This window comes from Homo sapiens, chromosome X, assembly GCF_000001405.40.
Source record: "Homo sapiens chromosome X, GRCh38.p14 Primary Assembly".
Taxonomy (NCBI): Eukaryota; Metazoa; Chordata; class Mammalia; order Primates; family Hominidae; genus Homo; species Homo sapiens.
In genome coordinates, this window is record NC_000023.11 from 10,973,054 (window position 1) to 10,991,823 (window position 18,770).

The 18,770-nt window shown below is 39.1% G+C and overlaps 1 long non-coding RNA gene across 1 annotated transcript in view; it reads right to left on the reverse strand.

Annotated features, from left to right (window-relative positions):
* The window catches only part of HCCS-DT (HCCS divergent transcript), a 263,596-nt gene that overhangs the window by 125,511 nt on the left and 119,315 nt on the right, over window positions 1–18,770 (reverse strand). The gene's annotated exons all lie outside the window — the stretch shown is intronic.

Here is an 18,770-nt window from a genome sequence, read left to right on the forward strand (position 1 = left end):
GACTGAACTTCATTTGTTCAGCATTTTCACCCAAAACCACAGAACTTTGATAAGAGTTAGTCAGGACTCAATGATGGTGAAGAAAGGGAAGGGAGAGGTAAGACAAGTAGACCCATGAGAATCAATTTGTTCTTGCTATTTTGAGTGCAGATACATCGAAGTAAATTGGAATGTGGTTACACTGGAGCAAGTTAATACTATACAATGATAAATACCCATTCTTTTTTTTTTAATTATACTTTAAGTTTTAGGGTACATGTGCACATTGTGCAGGTTAGTTACATATGTATACATGTGCCATGCTGGTGTGCTGCACCCACTAACTCGTCATCTAGCATTAGGTATATCTCCCGATGCTATCCCTCCCCCCTCCCCCCACCCCACAACAGTCCCCAGAGTGTGATATTCCCCTTCCTGTGTCCATGTGATCTCATTGTTCAGTTCCCACCTATGAGTGAGAATATGCGGTGTTTGGTTTTTTGTTCTTGCGATAGTTTACTGAGAATGATGATTTTCAATTTCATCCATGTCCCTACAAAGGACATGAACTCGTCATTTTTTATGGCTGCATAGTATTCCATGGTGTATATGTGCCACATTTTCTTAATCCAGTCTATCATTGTTGGACACTTGGGTTGGTTCCAAGTCTTTGCTATTGTGAATAATGCCTTTTTTCAATTTTTATTTTTGTTTTTATTTTAAGTTCCGGGGTACATGTGCAGGATATGCAGGTTTGTTACATAGGTAAATGTGTGCCATGGTAGTTTGCTGCACCTATCAACCCATCACCTAGTATAAATACCCATTCTTAATGAAAATGAGTTATAGTATTATTTTATTCATAGCCTGTGTTACTTCTCTGAATATGTCAGTAATAAACATGTTGTAGAAATTTAATAGAAATATCTAATAGATGTCGTTATAAACATGCTGTAGAAATTTAATAGAAATATATAATAGATGTGGTTCTTACATAATTTCTTCTCTGGCCTTTTACAGCTTGAGATATAATTTACACACAATAAATTGTTCAAATCTAAACTGTAAAGCTCTATAAATTTTTGCATATGTATATATTCATGGAACTGCTTCCCAGATGAAGATATAGAACATTTTCATTATAGAAAGCTTCTCCTGTTTCCATCTAGTTAGTATCCACCCTTACCTCCCGGGCAAGCAATATTGTGATTTCTACCAATGAAAGAATAGCTTTGTCTGTTTTTTTATCCCATAAATTAAATTGTACAGTATGTACTCTTTGTGCCTTTTGAGGCACATGTTGAAGAACATGAGAAACATGTTGAGTTTCTAAGGTTCATTCATTCAGTTTTATGTGCCAATGGTTTGTTCTTTTTTGTTGCTATGTAGTATTCCTCCATCCAAATAAAACACAGACTCCTGTTGATGGATATTTGTGCCTGTGTATATGTATGTGTCTATATGGACTATTATGAATAAAAATGCAAAGAAAATGGGGTGTACTAGTCTTTGTGTGGATATATGCACTTGTTTATCTTGGGTATATAACTCAGAATAAAATTCTAATACTAAAAATGGAAAATATTAATAATCAAATTGAATTTTTTATATTGCTATAAAGACTTGAAGGACACAATAATCTTCTCCCATTTATTTTACACAAAGGGAAAATAGATAAACCTTTTAAATAATTAATCAGGAAAATATATTAAGGCAGATGAAGACATAGAACACCTGACAGTAAGGTGAATATAGAATTTTTCATGAAACTGGGAGACTTTCTGAGTGAAAGGGGCATGATCAATATTTATATAGGGACTGTTTAACCTGGACTTTGCTGAAAATACTGGATCTTATGGCCATTCACGCTAATTGTGACTGAGAAGATGGAAACTAGGCCAGACATCTAATGCCAACTTCAGAATTAACCCCCTTTTTGACCTTGGTCAACTTGTTTAAACCTTTGTCCTTTAATCATGGCATTGGTCAGAATATTCTCCGCTGAAATTTTATAAAGACTCCATGAATGGCAAGTCATAAATCATAAACCTCAAAGCCAATAAAGCTGTCCTGCAAGGATTGAGAGCTGGAATGCAGACTTCCAGGGTTGAGATGTATGCTTTCAAGAGCCTGGTTGCACCTGCTTCTAAAGTGCCACTCAATTAATTTATGAGGTTCTCTCTTCTCTTTCATTTACTTTTCCAGTTGTGACTTAAAATAAGTTTCAGCTAGCCACATATACTCTATGTTATTTCACTGAAAAGATGTGAACTGCAAATTACATCAGTGATTGAGACACATTTGGCAATATCTTTCTTCCTCATGCTTCAGTCAACTAGACTTACTGTGTGATGAGAATCCCAGAGGCCCAGGGCGACAGCCCCTGAAATTTTCTTTTTTTTTTCTTTTATTATTATACTTTAAGTTTTAGGGTACATGTGCACATTGTGCAGGTTAGTTACATAAGTATACATGTGCCATGCTGGTGTGCTGCACCCACTAACTCGTCATCTAGCATTAGGTATATCTCCCAATGCTATCCCTCCCCCCTCCCCCCACCCCACAACAGTCCCCAGAGTGTGATGTTCCCCTTCCTGTGTCCATGTGATCTCATTGTTCAATTCCCACCTATGAATGAGAATATGCGGTGTTTGGTTTTTTGTTCTTGCGATAGTTTACTGAGAATGATGATTTCCAATTTCATCCATGTCCCTACAAAGGACATGAACTCATCATTTTTTATGGCTGCATAGTATTCCATGCTGTATATGTGCCACATTTTCTTAATCCAGTCTATCATTGTTGGACATTTGGGTTGGTTCCAAGTCTTTGCTATTGGGAATAGTGCCGCAATAAACATACGTGTGCATGTGTCTTTATAGCAGCATGATTTATAGTCCTTTGGGTATATACCCAGTAATGGGAGGGCTGGGTCAAATGGTATTTCTAGTTCTAGATCCCTGAGGAATCGCCACACTGACTTCCACAATGGTTGAACTAGTTTACAGTCCCACCAACAGTGTAAAAGTGTTCCTATTTCTCCACATCCTCTCCAGCACCTGTTGTTTCCTGACTTTTGAATGATCGCCATTGTAACTGGTGTGAGATGGTATCTCACTGTGGTTTTGATTTGCATTTCTCTGATGGCCAGTGATGATGAGCATTTTTTCATGTGTTTTTTGGCTTCATAAACGTCTTCTTTTGAGAAGTGTCTGTTCATGTCCTTCGCCCACTTTTTGATGGGGTTGTTTGTTTTTTTCTTGTAAATTTGTTGGAGTTCATTGTAGATTCTGGATATTAGCCCTTTGTCAGATGAGTAGGTTGCGAAAATTTTCTCCCATTTTGTAGGTTGCCTGTTCACTCTGATGGTAGTTTCTTTTGCTGTACAGAAGCTCTTTAGTTTAATTAGATCCCATTTGTCAATTTTGTCTTTTGTTGCCGTTGCTTTTGGTGTTTTAGACATGAAGTCCTTGCCCATGCCTATGTCCTGAATGGTATTGCCTAGGTTTTCTTCTAGGGTTTTTATGGTTTTAGGTCTAACGTTTAAGTCTTTAATCCAGCTTGAATTGATTTTTGTATAAGGTGTAAGGAAGGGATCCAGTTTCAGCTTTCTACATATGGCTAGCCAGTTTTCCCAGCACCATTTATTAAATAGGGAATCCTTTCCCCATTTCTTGTTTTTCTCAGGTTTGTCAAAGATCAGAAATTTTCACTAAGTCAAATACCATGAAATTGTTTCATCGAGCTGACACTTGACATTGGATGAAAGGGGGTTGGCATTACCTCCTCAAAGTTGATGTTCTTAGGCTCACGTGGGACAACAATGCTTTATTTCTACCATGTTTAGAAGTTTTAAGGCAACATAAGATAATAACCACAAAACAGCAATGCCATTTGAGAAGGAGGGGCTGCAAGTTTTTGCAGGCATTTAAAACTACGTTTGTCAAAAACAAAAAGCGAAAAGATAGAAAATATGTCTCTTGCAAGGGAAACAATGTATACTGGCTACCTGTAGAATGTCCCCAGAGTCACTGGATTGAAATAATTAGTTGCAAAGAAAGAATAAATTTAGGTAAAATAATGATAATCTGATATTAAGGACATTGTGTTTCCTACTATAGAAAAACAGCCTTTCCAAGCGAATTCATTGGGAGTCATAATCTGTTGCAAAATTACAAGTTAGAACAAGGACTAAAAATATAGCATAAAATCAGAAACTAAAATACTATTTATAACATGAATTATTTTTTATTTACTTTTAAAAAATTATGGATACATAATAGTTGTACATATTTATGGGGTACCTGTACCCCATAAATTGTTACATGTATAACCATACATGTAATAGTTTTGATACAAGCATATAATGTATAACAATCAGATCAGAGTAATTGGGATAGCCATCATCTCAAGAATTTGTGTTAGGAATATCCAATTCCATTCTTTTAGTTATTTTGAAATATACAGTAAGTTATTGTTAACTATTAGCACCCTATTGTGCTACTGAACACTAGATCTTATTCCTTCTATGTAACTGTATTTTTGTACCCATTAACCATCCTGTCTTTAATCCCCCTCATCTAGAACATGAATTCTTTGTTGATAAATTTTTGTTTTATAAAATCATCATTATCTTACTGCTAAGTTAATATATTCAAAGTATGAAACATTTTTCACTGAGTCTATACCTTCTAGATTTCAAATACAAAAATGTAACGACATTAGTTAATTTTAAAATATATATTGTATTTTATATAAACATATATATTTTTAAGTTTTTAAAAATCCACGTCTGTTTCTAAATCTGAACACATACACTCATACACCATACACAGTCTTCTTCCTACCTTTTGAGAGTCACTACCTTCTGAAAAGAACCTTTCCTAATGTAAATTTTCATAAGTAAAGAACAAAATCACCATTAATATCAAATGGCAAAGTTTTTATACATTTCCGATGCCCAAATTAAACCTATTTATGCTAAAGCAACACCAAGTCACACTAAAATGAACCCAATAATGTCAATATTTATCATAAGTTGTTATAACACAACATAACAAGGAAATAGCCCTTTAATTCATCACTAACATGGTTACCTATCTGCATATGTTCCGTTCTTTCCTAGCAGTTATGTATCATGCATATCATGCACGTAAGCCTGTGACCATAACATGTGCATTTGACCATCAATGTTTAAGTAATTGTACTTTTAGTTAAAAAATAAAACAAATGAAACTATCATTGATAACAATGCAAATGCACTAAGATCATCACTATTCCAAACCAGCAAACCAGGAGTTCTCTTGGAGGAAGAGATGGCAAGAAGCACCAACTGCTTCGTGCCTGTTCCATAAAACATTGGCCATCTATTTTCTTTGGGCCAACCAATGAGCATTCAAATGCCCTTCCATCTGTCCTCTACCAAGTCCAGTCATCAGGACTGGGTCATTCTTCTCTAGTGTTCTTTAAAGACAGCCAAGCGGACACAGGGGTGCTATCTGCAGAGTTCGGTGAGGACCTGATCAAAGATAAGGTGACTTATGAAGCTGTCCCATATTAAGAGGTGTCTAGATAAGACAACAGAGTAGAGGAACAAAAATATACCATTTTAGTTAGAGCAAAAGTATCTTTATCTGTGTTTGTGTTAAACACATATGCATCCATGTGTGCCGTGATGCATCTAATCACAGTTGGCAAAGTGTTGCTTAGTAGTTTGCTGAGCTAAGAGACTTGGTGTCACTGGGAGATAGTGAAGCCAACAAAAAGAGTGTAATGCTTCCTTTGATAAAGATAATTCATCTCATCCCAGTGAGTCTCTCCTTTTGCTTGGGATGCCCAAACTCTCCAAGGAAGGAGTGGAAAGCAGAGAAAAGATGAGGGAGACAGGAAACCAGAACAGGGGAGACACAGCAACCTGAGACAAAAAGTTAAAATCTATCGAGGATGGGAATTAGAGAGTTGCAGGTATTGGCGGGGCCTCAGATACTTCCCACTCTAACCATCGTTCCCACTCCGAAGGAAGCAGGAAAAAGAGCACAGGGGCATCAACCAGACCTGCCTATAAACTCCTCCCATCCATCCTCAGGGCCACCATTTTCACCCAGGCTCTGTCTAGAGCCCAGGTGGCCTGCTCAACTCCGCTCACTTTGTACATGGGTCTCTGCATCCTCTCTGAAAAAAGTCAGGTGCTGGTCTGTTGAATGTGGCTATAGAAGGTAATGACGAAGTATTCATGGAGATGACCAGACAAGTGGAGCCTTCTTAAGAGGAGATGCCTTAGGACTGGGATCCCGTAATCTGTGGTTTTCAGCCAGGGGCAATTCTGATCCCTGGGCAACCTTGAGCAATGTCTGGAGACATTTCTAGTTGTCACTACTCAGGGTAAGGGAGGATGCTACTGACTTCTAGTGAATAGAGGCCAGGGATACTGTTAACATCCTAAAATGAACAGGGCAGCCGCCACAGCCAAGAATTATGTGCCTCCAAATGTCACTAGTACTGTGGCTGAGAAACCCTGGACTAAAAGAAGCCAACCCTAAAGGTCAGCTTGGTGATGCAGGAGCAGCCAGATTACATGGCTAAGAGGGACACAGTTGGACAGAGTCAGACGCAGGACATCTCTGGGCTTCAGAAGGACTTCTAACTCAAGTTGATGAACAAATGAGAAGTCAGAATTGTGTTGCCGAAACGTCGGAAGTTTCAAAGTCAGAATCAAGATTCCAGCAATTACTTGATGTTTCCCAGTCTTAATTTTTTCATCTGTAAGACTGGGATCCTAACATTGCTCCATAGGAATTTGCTAAGACTAAAGAAGATATTGAACATGAAGAACTTCTCACCAGTGATTGGCAAGTAATAGGCACTTCACAAAGAGCACTTCTCTTCCATTTTCTTGCTCTAGGTAACCTCTGGAATGAACATTACAGAGATAGAGCAAGGAAGTGGATGGTTAGATCTTTTCCCCACAGCCCGACTTTTTCAGAGCTCCTTGATCTTCCTTCCTTTTGTAATTTTTTCTTTCTATCCCACCTCCTTCTAAGAACTGAAATTTCCCATCCATCAGTGATCACATACTCAGGCAAGGGCTTGAGGTGTAACTTTTTTCACCTTGTGACTCATGAAGATACAGTAGGGTGATCTCACCAGGAACCTATGCACATAAGAGACTAAAGAGCCTCATAGAAAATAACTTATCCTGGAAGAATAAAAAGTCAACAGGAAAAGAGTGTTTCAAGGACAACAGGTAACCTTTGAAAGAAAGGGGTCATTCTAAGCACAGCATAAGCCTCATCATGAATTCACCCTGAATCTCTGGACAAGGAAACATTAAAAAATACCTATTAAGAACCAAAATTGTTTCTGCAAAATTTCTAAGGGCCACTGAAAGCACAAATATTATTGGATTTATAACTATGAGGGAGAAGCTGGCATTGGTGGAGACTTTGCTTATGAGGGCTGCCCACTTTATTCTGACAACAAAGTTGGTGATATGGTGGCCTCTATCCACCTCTATTCACCTTGACAGAACGCATTGGTTGCAACTGTAGCAGCAATGCTGTTGAGAGACATCTGCAGTGGAAGTATTCCCTTCCATTGCAGATGGAAGTAATCAAATTTCTCCCCACAGAGACTCACAGGAGGGGAAGAAAGAGGTGGTATATTAGTCCGTTTTCACACTGCTGTAAAGAACTACCTGAGACTAGATAATTTATGAAGAAAAGAGGTTTAATTGACTCACAGTTCCACAGGCTGTACAGGAGGCACAGCTGGGGAGGCCTCAGAAAAATTACAATCATGGTGAAAGGGCAAAGGGGAAGCAAGCAGGTCTTCACATGGCAGCAGGAAAGAGAGAGAGTAAAAGGGGAGATGCTACGCACTTTCAAACAACCAAATCTCGTGAGAACTCTATCATGAGACAAAACTAGGGGGGACGGTGCTAAGCCATTAGAAACCACCCCCGTGATCCAATTAACTTCCACCAGGCCCCACTTCCAACATCAGGAATTACAATTCAACATGAGATTTGAGTGGGGACACAGAACCAAACCATATCAGGTGGTGTGCATTCCCACAGCATGGGGAGGACACATAGAGTACCATGGGCACATTCCCTGGATATCCCCAAGACTATGGAGGGACAACTTGAGCAGTGGAGGCAGAGCAGCCAGAGAAACACTTTTGGGGGTTGCCACTTGGCATTCTTTTCTTACTCAAACAGTTATGGCACAAGTTACAGTATAAGAGTAAACCATTATTCTCTCAGAACACCCAGTGGGTCTGCTTTCCTGTTGCTAAAAATCCTAACACCAGGTTTCAGCAGTAACAATAAGATGTTCACTGTGTCCCTGGGGCCATGCAAATACTGCAGAGCCTTAACTTTAGCTCACAAACCTTTGACAGGCCAGATCCACTATAGCACGTGATGGTGTTATGGGTAGGGGGAGGGAAATTACTGCTCTTACAACTTAGCTGATCCTCAATTGATGCTTCTAAGTTGCTGTTTCCTCACTTCCCCCACTAAAATTAATACATTAAGTCCAGATCTTTCTGCTTAGGGTAAGGAAAAGTAAAGCTAAGGCTGCTCGACTTGCCTTACGGTATGCTGTGAGACAAACAAGAGTCCAGGGTCCCTTGCTCACCTTGACCGTCACTGCCTGGCCCTTGGAATCTATACAGTGTAAATAAAGATCTGAGGGAAAAAAATCCTGGCTCTCTGTGATATTTTAGAGGAATGCAAAAAATTAGACCTAAGGCATTTGCATTGAAACTCTTACATTCCATTATACATATCTGAAGCTCTTTTGCTGGTTCTTTATGTCTTTGTGGACAGGATGTTAATCTTAAATCAAGATTGTAAAATTAAACAATTTTAAATATATGCATGTTTAACTAAAAGATTTTAGAGATTAAGAATCATTTGTAAAATTAGATTTTACACGTTTGATTTAAGAACATGTATTGAATGTTAGCCGTCAAGTCCCCAAATCCATTCATTTGTAGATACTAAAGGATCCCAAGAGGTGAGTTGATTCTAGCCCAAGCCCAATTAATCCTGACTCTAAACATTATATGTGTATTTTTATTGAGTGCTTCCTATATGTTGGGGTACTGGGCAAAAAGCTGTTTGAGCACTGTATCTAATATGTCTGCAATATTTCCCTCTTCACTGTGGGGAAGAAATGTTTCACTCTTCTCTTAATTTTCATATATATGTGTGTATATATATATATGCATCTGTACCACACTTCCCTCTTAATTCTCTTATATGTGAATAAATACATATATTTATATGTGTATATATGTGTGAATACACACACATGCATTTATATATACATAAAGATAAATGGCACCTAAAGTATGGCGTCAGTGTTCACTCCAGCTCATTGATTCCCGTCGGTTTGTAGGGCCAATGTCAAGTTTTTCACGAAAACAAAAAATTTCTGAACTTTTAATTTAAATATCCTTGTTATGGTCTGAATTATGTCTCCCCTAAATTCATATGTTGAAATCCTAACCCCAGTATCTTAGAATATGACTGTATTTGGAGATAGGGCCTTTAAAGAGGTAATTAAGGTAAAATGAGGCTGGTAGGGAGGGCTCTATTCCAATCTGACTGGTGTCCTTATAAGAGAATTTTTGGGACACAAAGAGACACACCAAGGATGTATGCATACAGACAAAAGACCATGTGAGGACACAGCGAGTAGGTGGCCATCTGCAAGCCAAAGACAGAGGAATCAGAAGAAACCAACCCTGCCGACACCTTGATTTCACACCTCTGGCCCCCAGAACTGTGAGAAAATAAATTTCTGTTGTTTGAGCTACCCAGTCTGTGGCATTTTGGTATGGTAGTTCTAGAAAATGAATACGCTCTCGTTTTTGAAAATTCAGGTTTTTAACAGCACTGTGTAGGTCAAACAAAAACATAACTAAAATGAAGAATGAACTCTCATACATAATGGGAGTGTGCATAAATTGCTTCAATCTCTATGGAGGGTAACTTGGAAATATCTATCAAAATTAAAAATGATTATTTTTGAGTCAGATATTCCATTCCTAAAATATTTATCCTGCAGAAATATTCTTGTGTGTGAAGTAATGTGTTCAATATTTGTTGCATCATTTCAATACAGCAAACCACATACATGCCCACTGATATGGGACTAGTAAGTAAATTATAGCACACCTATACAATAGAATTATGTGCAGTTATTTTTTAAATGAGGTAGCTCTATATAGAATGATTTTACAGATAGAGTGCCAAGTTAAAAAGTATCAGAACTGTGTGTGTGTGTGTGTGTGTGTGTGTATAACCATTTGTGTGAAACAATGTGTAATGTGTTTCAAAATGGCCCCTCAAAGTGGGATGTGAAATAGAAAAAAATATATCTGATGCTGAAGTCAGGGTTTTTTACCATGACCTTAAGGCATTTATTAGGGATACCACACCTATACCCAACCAAGATCTCTCAGCCCATTTCCAGATGGGCACTCAAATTTCTTAGTGCAGTTGGAGCCCTGCCCTACACAGCTAAGAGAAGCTGTGATCATCAGACTTCATGACTTCTTTTTCCCTGGGCAGGCTTCTACTCTGGCCTTTCCTGGCCCCTCCCTGCTTTGCCACTAAACACCGCCTGAGATATGGACAGCCTACCCAGAATGAACTCTCCCTTTGTGATGTCTCCTTGGGTGTCAACAAATGGGCTACTACTGTCTCCCTCTTTTGAACAAAGGCTCTCTATGGCCTGGTTAGAGCATTTAGCTTAGGAGGCAAGAGTATTCCACGGAGCACAACAACCTCATTATTTATATGATCAACTAAATCTTACAAGTGCTGCATACAGTTGCATACTCACAAGCACATTAGCATATAAAGTCTCTGAAGTCTCCGCGGTGTAGAAAAGTGGTTGCCCTTTTTCATCCCACAGTTGCCCAAGATTATTTAACTAATGAATCTTCTCTCTTTGTTGCACATCTATGCACATCATGTAAAACTAGTATTTCCCAGTGTGTAACACACTTGAGAAAATCTCTTCTAAACCAAGCACAGCTTCCATTCTTTTCTCCAGCTTGCTCTTTATAGAAGAGACTCAAATTACCTTCCCAAACAAACAAGGCTCCAAGGATTACAGCTAACAACAAGGATAAAACAACAACAACAACAAAAATAAGACTAAATAGGAGAGGGAGAGAAACCCAATAAAGAGGTAAAATTTAAAATTAAACGTCAAATTTTATAATTTGATGGTTCTATTTATTTCTGATTAAGAAAAGAAACCTGATCATGGAAAGTTATAAATTAGAAACCAGGAGGCAAGCAGGCAGGAGAATAGACAGGAATGTTGAAGGTCACAGCAGGCAATGGGTCATAAATCAGGAGCCAAGAGAACACAAACACCTGAGAGGAGGTCAAGGTCAATGGTTCTACTCTGGACAGCTCATCAGGAACCATTAAAAAGCCATAGGAGTGAGATGGCTATAGAGTCTTACCCAAAAGATGATTGAAAGATTACTAATTTAGGTTTGATTGGCCTGAATTCTCAACAGCCAATATGTTTATGCATGTTGTACATCTAATGGAACACCATTAAGATGGCTGACACTGTCGATTTATGCATTTATTGACATAATTCTGGCAGACTTTTTCTAACAAAATGTTTATATATTTTTTGTTTGTTCATTTGTTTGTTTTTTGAGATGGAATCTCACTCTGTCACCAGGCTGGAGTGCAGTGGTGCGATCTTGGCTCACTGCAACCTCTGCCTCCTGGGTTCAAGCAGTTCTCCTGCCTCAGCCTCCTGAGTAGCTGGGACAACAGGTACGTGCCACAACGCCCCCCAAAAATATTTTTGTATTTTTAGTAGAAACGGGGTTTCACCATGTTGGCCAGGATGGTCTCGATCTCTTAACCTCGTGATCCGCCTGCCTCGGCCTCCCAAAGTGCTGGGATTATAGGCATGAGCTACTGCACCCGGCCCAAAATGTTTATAACAATATAGAAATACATTATATTTCTAACTCATGCAAAGGTGCCTTATGAGCAAGCAACAATCCTGCCCCAAGGTCTGCCTGGTCTCTGGAAGGCCATGGAGGTAATGGCAGGAGGGCAGCTCTTGAAATCAGATGACCTGCATTCTATACCCAGCACCATTGAGCAGTTTTCCTCACCATTTTAGGTTTGAGTGTCCTCATCAGCAAAATGAAATCTATTTCTAGATGATGTTTCAGTTACATGAATATATTAGATTCTTTCTCACCTCTCATTTTTCACATATGCTATTGCTTCTACTTGGAATGCTTGTCCTTCACTCATCCCCAGGCTGGCCCTCCACATTCTTCAAGTCTCTGCATAAATGTCAAATCTTCCAGAATGCTTTCTCTTCTACCTTGGTTAGATCCCCTACTCAAGGCTTCCATCAGCCATCCTCCACCCACCATCAATTCACATCAAATATTATCATAATTATTTATTTCACTGTTTGTCTTTCCCACTAGACTTTAAATACCCATGGACAGAAAACATCTCTCTCTCTCATTCAGGGCTGTGTCTCCACTACCAAGCACACAGTAGAAACTCAATAAAAATTTGTTACATGAAGACATGAACAATGTTAAAATTTATATGGAAACCATTAAGTCTTTTTTTAACTTTTAAGTTCGGGGTACATGTGCAGGTTTGTTACACAGGTAAACTTGTGTCATGGGGGTTTGTTATACAGATTATTTCATCACCGAGGTATTCTCATTTTTTAAAAGAATTTTTCTGTATCTAGTATGCCACTTGGTTTGTCAAAGTTAGCCAAATTCACTTGTCTCCTACTTAAGAAAGTTAATTATTGAAGCCTGATTTCTTATCTCTGCACATTTTTATAAAACTAAAGTGCTATATAGGCACAAATATATTCTTATGAAGTTGTGCATGTTGTGAGGACGTGAAAACTAATTTCCACTTTAGTTGTACTCAGCAACTCAAACGGAATGAAGTCGTTTTATTAACAAACACCCTTCCTCCCAATTTATTTAGTAAATTCAGATTAATTAGGATTATTTCACTTTAAAAGAGTGGACTCTTGGTGTTAAAAGTGGGGGTGGTGGTGAGGGAAGTTCTGTTATTATCGATATGGAAATATCTTGATCATTTTCTCAGGGAAAGAAATCAAGATAAAGAACACCAAAAGTGTGATTTGCATGACCCTATCCCCCAGTCTCCCAGAGGACTTTGTCTTTGGCAGTCATGTTTTGGAAGGCCAAAAATGATCCTCTGATACTAAAAGGGAGTAGAAAGACGAGACCAACTGGATCTTATTGAGAAAAGGGGCAGCATTTGAGGGAGGTGGCATATACCCCTACAGGAGGAAGAATTTACTCCCTGGGAGGTAAGATTCTTAGCACCTGCAGATGTTTAACAGCACAGACTGTGAAGCTGGACTGCCTGGGTTCAAATCCGAGCTCTACCCTATTATCTGGGGAACTTTATATGTTACTTAATGGTGTGGTGTCAAGCTCACTCATCTGTAAAAATAGGGATAGTTATGGCAACTACATTACAGGGTTGTCATACAGGTAAAATGAATTAATGCATTCAGGAGATTAGAAAAATGACTACCATAATAAGTTCTTAATACTCATATATGTCAAGTTGGACTTTTATTATGTTTAGCTCTATATTCGTGGGCAGGGACTGAGAGAGAATTGCTTTTGTAAGATACAGAGTACACTCCAGCCTAGCCTGAGGAAATTGGCAAAAACTGAAATGGCCTGAGGAAATTGGCAAAAACTGAAAATTCCTTTGGGTAAGGGAGCCCAAAAGAGCTGAGGTCACTTAGAGGCCAGACTATAATCGCTTGAGATTCTCCAATTCTCTGACTTTGGTGTAGGCAGTGGTAGCAAGGGAGAAGGCAGAAGGCAGGTGAAGACACCAGTTAATGCAGTAAGGGTGGCAGAACTGGGAAACAAAAGCAGCCAAGAAGCAGAGATGGGAAATGCCTGGAGAAGACGATCACTAGACTCTCCAGTCAAATGTTTGCTAGGCTTTCCTTTTCAGGTGGCTTCTGAAGAACAGCATAACAAACTGCCTCATGGTATAGGAGACATCTAGAGCCCAAAGCCTGTATAATTGTTCCTCAGTTTTTTCTCAACAGGGAAAATCCCATTAGATAATTCCAAAGTGTTCCAAGCACCCAGCCTATTTAATGGTGCCCCCTGGAGTTGTGTAACACAGAGATGCTGAGCTGAGAGATCATAAATTACGTTTATCCATCTATAAGTGATTTGTTAGCCTATTATTTCCACCTTATAATTCTGTACCATTTCCTTTCACTGCATAACAGAAACTAATTTACATCTGCAACTAATTTTTGCATTTATTTATGTATTTATTTAGAGACAGAGTCTCACTCGGTTGCCCAGGCTGGAGTGCAGTGGCACCATCTTGGCTCACTGCAACCTCTGCCTCCTGGGTTCAAGCAATTCTCCTGCCTTGGCCTCCCAAGCAGCTGGGACTACAGGTACATACCACCACACTCAGTTAATTTTTGTATTTTTAGTGAGACAGGGTTTCACCATGTTGGCCAGGCTGGTCTTGAAAACCTGACCTCAAGTGATCTACCTGCCTCGGCCTCCCAAGTGCTGAGATTATAGGCGTGAGCCACTGTGCCCGGCCAATATTTTCATTTAGAGACTACTGATTCATCACTAAGTTGTCAGGAGTGGTATGTGGTGTGTGTGTGTGTGTGTGTGTGTGTGTGTGTGTGTGTGTGTGTGTATTAGCCTCTTTTAAGAGGTTATTTAGAAGAGGAAGACATAATTATTCACTTCATTTATGAGTTGCTCTATTACAATTTGGTTGTTCCTTTCGCAAAGCATTCGTGACATTGTTAGAACTTGTCATTAAGTCCTTTGGCGGAGGGCTCTACCTCTAATCTTTGCACAGCACTAGCTTCTTACTGTCCTATTTTCTCACCCATCTCACACACTGCAGCTGAAAATTGTGGCTGGGCTTGCATATGTAATTAGAGTTGTGCCTCTTTGCCAGGTTGTTTCTTCCTCCTCTACTAATTGGTCTAGTTTTCCCTTTAAGGCACGTAGGAATTATCAGTTAAGTCAAATGAAAACAATAGGCTGGGTGATGTCAGTTTTTGAAACTGTTGATTACTTTCCATATTATATCATATGGTCATGAGGATTACTCTGCACTTATGGGTAAACTATTCAGCTACTCATTAGCTCAATCCAGACACATCGAGGCTTGTCCTGGTTTAACTAACTTTTAAGCCATGTGACACAGGAAAAACGAATTCTTCTTCAAGAGTTAAACTGACTATCATGCTAAGACCTTCCTTTCCTGATGGCATTTGTAGTCATTTTTCTCACAAGCCATCAGTTCCAAGACAAGGATTTGGAAGAAAAAGCAACAAAAATAATAGTGCTTGGATATCTCTTAAGAAGCTAGGGCCATATTTTGCAAATATATTATTGTCCATTTTCAAGCATCCTAACAAGATGTGATAGACTCAGAAGCTTCCCAGTAGTAGCATAGGCTGTTCCTACTAAATCCAGAGGTTTATGGTTATCCTAGCACAAGGAATAGCAGCTTCAGATGTTGGCCATGGGGCAATTGTTACTCTTACTCCCATCTCTGGGAGTTCTCGAAAACTGTGGTCCCAGAACCAGCAGCATCAGTATCACCTATAAACTTGTTAGATAGGCACATTTTTACGGCTCACTCCAGACACAATGAATCAGAAACTCTGTGGGTGGAAGTCAGCAATCTGAATCTTAACAAATTGTCTGGGTGACTCTGATACATCTCTATCACATGGAGCCCCACTGCCAACCATAAGGCAAAGTAGATATGGGCCAAGCAGGTCTGTACAGGTTTTGGTGAAATCCTTAAAGCTCATACTGTTACCATGAGTCTTAGATCACAGAAAACACAGTGTTAGAATCATTGTTACTTCTATGCAGAAAAGGAAGAAGGAAAAAAATGCGCCAATTTCCTGGTAAATTTCCCCAACGGTTTTAACAATCTTTACCATATGCAAAATATAATGTTCTCAAAGATTAAATACCACTCTTGAGACTTAAAGAAAAGAGAATAGAAGACCATACTTGGGAAAAGAAATCTCTCTCCTGCTATGGGAGAAATATAACACTTATTATTAGGTAATTCAAAAATCTGTTGCATTGGTTTCTAAGACAAAGAAAACTTCTTAGACAGAGTCGCCAAGATGAATGAGAGTACCTTTCCATAGTGACTTTTTCAGTGTTGACACACAACTTCTAACAAGAAATGTTCCTAAAGAGTTTAACCTAATTACTAAAGTTCTTTTTACTCCTGTCATAAAGGAAGGGGAGGGGAGTTCAGAAAAAATTGCCTTGAAATCAGAGTCCCAGACTCTTACACATTCCTTACATTCATGGCATTCATGAGACCGTCAGGAGACCACCCGTAAAGACAGACAAAAGAAGATGGACTGGCGGCAGCACAAATAGTAATTATCAAAGCCATTGCCAAGTGGTTATCCCATGGAAACACATTTCTGTATAGTCAGTAAGTGGCAGTAATGATAACTGAGGGCATGCCAGCCAATAGAAGACCATGAACAGAACAAGATTCTTCCTGACCTTATCAGCAAGAGAGGGCTTTGAGGGAATGGAGATGCCTGGGCACTGAGGTCACCAGCACTCAAGAGGCCACCCCACCATGTCCTCATCCTGTGTGAATCCAATTGCTTACTTGGATTAGCTTTGCCACTTTACAATAGATGCTTAGAGGAAATCAAAATAATTTAGCATGCTAAGTGAAATTATACAACCAGGACTAACCAGGTAATTTAATGTAGAGGCACAGCCGCTTTGTTCATTAGCATTGGCCTTGGTCAAATTATGGAATCTCTCATTGCTTCAGTGACCTCATGAGTCCAGTGGGAATATTATTGCCAACATACTACTAGAAGACTCTTGAGAGAAATGGATAAAAAGGGTTGGGTTCTGTTGTATTGTACTGTACAATTTTGCATGTATTTTATTTGTATTTTGATGAACAAATTAGAAATAGCCCATATTCCAAACCATTCTCACTGGAATCAAGTGAGGAAATCACTAAACCAGTAGGCAAGTATCATATTTTGCCTAACATTGAATGTTTAAAAAAGACCAGTGAAATGCTTCTATTAACAGCAGAGTTCTTCATTCAGTGTGTGTGTGGGGGTGTGTGTGTGTGTGTGTGTGTGTGTGTGTGTGTGTAGAAAGAGTACTTTAAGCCAACTAAAAGGCGAGATTGTCAACAGAGCCTAGGAGTCTGAGAAGTTTGAGATAAGCGATGGTGATACAAACATCATTAGCACTGAGTCTTTTAGAATACATATTCTATAGCTCTCCAGCAAACCAAGTCTTCACATGAGGAAGTCACTGAGGCAGCAGGTAGATGCCATGGTCCTGGTCATCAAGGAGGCCCTACATTCACTTCTGCTTGCTAATGGCATCTCTTTGGGCAAGCTCTGAACCTCTCCCTAAGCAACATCTGTCCTTCAGGCTTAGCCAGCCAGAGTAGCTATGCCACGGCCTAAGGGCAGGGCAATTAAGATTCGTTATGTCACATCAAGAGAAGAATTCCAAATACTGGGCCCTCCACCAACAATGCAGCATCCTCACCCTCCCACTTCAAGCCCTGAAATGTTTTCAGTAAAAATAACTAGCTAATCATAACTGCTAGGAAGGATAGGGATAATCTCAGTGAGGTCACAACGAGCTAAAAATAAGTCTTTTGAGATCAAAGAGTTACACTAAGAAGGAGACAGAAAATTCAGGATATAATAACTAATCTTATATCCTTCTGTTCTTTCTGAACCTCAATTGGGGCTTGGATGCTGGGATATTGGGATGAAGGTGTTTGTCCCAAGGCCAAGCCGTATGCTGAATCAATTCCTAGTTCTACACAGGAAAGAAGCATCATTTTAGTCTCAGATAAATTAATAGTACGCAGCTAAATAACTCAAAACAGAAAAGTCATCATAGTGACAGAGTTGTAAAAGCCAGTTGCAGGAAATTGCACAAAATAAGCAGAATAAATATTACTGGAGTGAATTGGATGTTTTATGCAACAACCACCTGACACTCCAACTTTCTTTCAAATTTCACTTTTCCTCCCCTCTCTTTTTTGCCAGATGAATGTACTTCCAGCTGGACTTAAGAGAAGCAACGGTGTCAAACAACGACTCATTAAGAAATACACACCTGTCATAAACGCAAGACCCTCTCAGGGGAGATATTGAATTGTGTTCCCTGCTTCCTATGAAAAGGTGCAATGAAAAAAAAAATTAACTATCAACTACCAGATGTTTCTAGCATCTCTATTAGTTTGAGAAAGATGAAACAATTGCTGCATTGTACAGATGTGTAACTCACAGAAGTATTTTGGATGTGGGAGGAAGGCTCAACTAAATGTGTCTTGAGAATAATTGATCTTTTCTTTTTGGCACTGCTTCATAATAACAGGAAGAAATCTCCTCCTCTCCTTGAATTGACACATTTTTTACCAACACTAAGAATAAATGAACATATATTTAAAGGTGCAAGCATATGGATATGCATTTTTCAGTCTGACTTTGCTTCACTGCATCAATTATAATTATCTTGAACTTCCTGGTGACACTCATACATGCACGTTTCATGATTTGAAAGCTTTCTAGTTGTAGAAAGCTGTAAGTACTGTAAATCCCATTCTCCAAATAGTAAGAATGGAGTCTGGTGAGGAGAGGTTGTGTGGTCAATGGTATAGAGAAGGACAG